Source organism: Homo sapiens, chromosome 3, assembly GCF_000001405.40.
Source record: "Homo sapiens chromosome 3, GRCh38.p14 Primary Assembly".
Lineage (NCBI taxonomy): Eukaryota > Metazoa > Chordata > Mammalia > Primates > Hominidae > Homo > Homo sapiens.
Genome location: NC_000003.12, coordinates 191,612,705 through 191,616,796, shown reverse-complemented (window position 1 = coordinate 191,616,796; position 4,092 = coordinate 191,612,705). Strand labels below are relative to the sequence as shown.

Sequence of the window (4,092 nt, the reverse complement as noted above, 5' to 3'; positions counted from 1 at the left end):
AATGTGGCCTTCTAGAGTCTAAAGAACATGGCATAGATTTTGAAAGGACCGCAAGGACATCTCTTTCCTCAGTTTTTTCTTTCAATGTTTTCAGTCAGCCCCTTGTTAGCCCGAGCTAGCAGCACCACCTCAGGCTGCTGCAATGTTAAAATCTTGCTACTGATTGTTTCTGAAAAATTGGCTGGAAATAGGGCTGCTCACTCAGAGTGAGTTCTGAACCAGGTCAAATAAGGAAAAGCTCTAGAATGAAGCTTTTCAGTGAGCTGCCTGAGAGGTCAAATAGCGACATTTCCTTCTCTGTGGGCGAGGCTTTTGGGAAGCTTCAAATCTGTTCTTCCACCTCCAGTGGCTGCTTGGCTGCTGGATTCACAGCCATGCTGTTTATTTTCAAGGCTGCTATGGAGCTGGGGAGAGGATATGGAATTAGGGCAAGTTAAAATGTCACAAAGCTCGATGTTATTACCGAGATCCAGCTGTTTTTCTAAATAACACTCTTTGGATTGTTTCAAGTCTTTGGTTAATTTTCAGAGTTCCGAAGAAGTTTATTTTGTTAGTGCTTTCATTGCTTTTATGGAGAAGCAGATTTCCTAAGGTCTTCATTCCATCATTTCAGAAAAGCTTCTATCCCTGGTAATAGAACTTAAAATCCTCATACCCAGGTAGCTGGGTCTATATTTAATCTCGATTCCTTATGGGCTCTTTCCCATAGAAATTAGCATTTCTACTTGCTAATCTTATACCTGTGCATTTGGACATTTTCTTTTTATTGTTATTATACTTTAAGTTCTGGGATACATGTGCAGAACATGCAGGTTTGTTACATAGGTATACACATGCCACAGTGTTTTGCTACACACAGCAACCCATCGTCTTCATCAGGTATTTCTCCTAATGCTATCTCTCCCCTAGGACCCCCAACACCCAACAGGCCCCAGTGTGTGATGTTCCCTCCCTGTGCCCATGTGTTTTCACTGTTCAACTTCCACTTTTGAGTGAGAAGATGCAGTGTTTGCGCTTCTGTTCCTGTGTTAGTTTGCTGAGAATTATGGTGTCCAGCTTCATGTCCCTGAAAAGGACAAGAACTCATCCTTTTTTATGGCTGCATAGTATTCCATGGTGCATATGTGCCACATTTTCTTTATCCAGTCTATCCTTGATGGGCATTTGGGTTGGTTCCAAGTCTTTGCTATTGTGAATAGTGCTGCAATAAACATTAAGTGTGCATGTGTCTTTACAGTAGAATGATTTATAATCCTTTGGGTGTATACCCAGTAATGGGCTTGCTGGGTCAAATGGTATTTCTGGTTCTAGATCCTTGAGGAATTGCCACACTGTCTTCCACAATGGTTGAACTAACTTACACTAACCAACAGTGTAAAAGCATTCTTATTTCTCCACATCCTCTACAGCATCTGTTGTTTCCTGACTTTTTAATGATCACCATTCTAACTGGCATGAGATGGTATCTCATTGTGGTTTTGATTTGCATTTCTCTAACGACCAGTGATGATGAGCTTTTGTTCATATGTTTGTTGGCCACATAAATGTCTTCTTTTCAGAAGTGTCTGTTCATATCATTTGCCCACTTTTTGATGGGATTGTTTGTTTTTTTCTTGTAAATTTGTTTAAGTTCCTTGTAGATTCTGGATATTAGCCCTTTGTCAGATGGGTAGATTGCAAAAATTTTCTCCCATTCTCTAGGTTGCGTGTTCACTCTGATGATAGTTTCCTTTGCTGTGCAGAAGCTCTTTAGTTTAATTAGATCCCATTTATTTTGGCTTTTGTTGTCATTGCTCTTGGTGGTTTAGTCATGAAGTCTTTGCCCATGCCTATGTCCTGAATGTATTGCCTAGGTTTTCTTCTAGGGTTTTTATGGTTTTAGGTCTTACGTTTAAGTCTTTAATCCATCTTGAGTTAATTTTTGTATAAGGTGTAACGAAGGGGTCCAGTTTCAGTTTTCTGCATATGGCTAGCCAGTTTTCCCAACACCATTTATTAAATAGGGAATTATCTCTCCATTGCTTGTTTTTGTCAGGTTTTTTAAAGATCAAATGGTTGTTGATGTGTGGTGTTATTTCTGAGGCCTTTGTTCTGTTCCATTGGTCTATATATCTGTTTTGGTATCAGTATCATGTTCTTTTGGTTATGCTCTTTTGGTTACTCTAGCCTTGTTTTATAGTTTGAAGTCAGGTAGTGTGCTGCCTCCAGCTTTGTTTTTTTTGCTTAGGATGAAGGGATCAACATAACAAGAAGAGCTAACTATCCTAAATACATATGCATCCAATACAGGAGCACCAGATTCATAAAGCAAGTCCTTAGAGACCTATAAAGAGACTTAGACTCCCACACAATAATAGTGGGAGACTTTAACACCCCACTGTCAATATTAGACAGATTAATGAGACAGAAAATTAACAAGGATATTCAAGACTTGAACTCAGCTCTGGACCTAGCAGACCTAATAGACATCCACAGAGCTCTACACCATAAATCAACAGAATATACATTCTTCTCAGCATCACATTGCACTTATTCTAAAATTGACCACATAATTGGAAGTAAAACACTCCTCAGCAAATGCAAAAGAACAGAAATCATAACAAACAGTCTCCCAGACTACAGTGCAATCAAACTAGAACTCAGGATTGAGAAACTCACTCACAACAGCACAACTACATGGAAACTGAACAACTTGCTCCTGAATGACTACTGGGTAAATAACGAAATGAAAGCAGAAGTAAATAAGTTCTTTGAAACCAATGAGAACAAAGACACAACATACCAGAATCTCTGGGACACAGCTAAAGCAGTGTTTAGATGGAAATTTACAGCACTAAATTCCCACAGGAGAAAGCAGGAAAGATCTAAAATCGACACCCTAACATCACAATTAAAAGAATTAGAGAAGCAAAAGCAAACAAATTCAAAAGTTAGCAGGAGATTTCCTTTTGTTTGTGTCAAGGTGAAAAATATTTTTTAATGTGTACATCTCTGTATTTGAGATGGAACTGGATACATTTTTACATAACATGTATCCACAATTTTAAATAAAATAGTGAAAACACTTTTTTAAGTGATGGTAAGAATTTGGTAAAGTGAGATGAGTTAAAGATCAAGAAAAAAATGTAATGTTTACAAAGTAATGGGAAGAGATGGGATCTGTAGTAAAGGTGATAGCATAACTCTTAATCACGTAAAAGGCCAACTCTTCTAAAATAGAGAGAAATAAGAATACAAATGGTAGAATACCAGAAAGTCAAATGTTGGTGGGAGGAGCAGTTAAGTAAATTTTTGTCTTATGTCATATTTTCTATGTGAATAAAAGGCAGACTTTTTTTTTCTCAGAAAAACGTTAAAAATGATAAAATATGTTCTTGGCAAAATGGATACGTGTTAAAAGAACAAATGTGGAAGATGGAGGGAGAGACCTAAGGATTCAGAGAATAATTTCTGTCATCTTTGGGAACTTGGTATAGTAGAGATCATAAATCGGTAGTAGCAATAATGTGCAGCACTGTGTGATTTAATATAACACTGGAGTTCCAGTAACTGCAGCTACAGCCCTGTGGAATCATTTTCATTTTCATAAATACATCATGTTCTTTCATTCCTTCATTCCTCGTTCAATACCACTCTGCAGTTCTTCATAATATAGGGCATCTTATCTCACTTATTCTCTCATGTGCATCTCTCCAAGGGAAACATGTGACTTATCTGATTAATGAATTGAATAAAGAGTCACGGCTTATGCATGGCACAACTTTGTTCTATCTATGTCTCAGATCACCTTTCATGCACATAACCCTACTCTGAGCAGGTACGCTCATGGGGAGACATCTTCCCTGACTTCTGTGGAAGAAACAGTTCTCTGACTGTGATGGGTTTGGATATATCAGTTCATTTAGTATAGCTTGATAGTTAAAAATTCCATTTTTATATCTGATGCAGGTTTTATTATCTAAAAAATCTATTCATTTGAATCTTTACATTATGAATAAAGTTGATTCATTTCTATTTATTTTATATGCTACTATCATCCTCAAATGCTAGAGACTTCTTTAATAGAAATTCTAACATCATTGATCATCTCTG

The 4,092-nt window shown here is 37.3% G+C and overlaps 1 annotated feature.

Moving 5' to 3' along the window:
• Nucleotides 251–451: a silencer, noted in NCBI's record as "peak4974 fragment used in MPRA reporter construct". NCBI's record gives its function as "represses an SCP1 promoter by STARR-seq MPRAs in K562 erythroleukemia cells {active_cell/tissue: K562}" and the evidence as "EXISTENCE:reporter gene assay evidence [ECO:0000049][PMID:32103011]".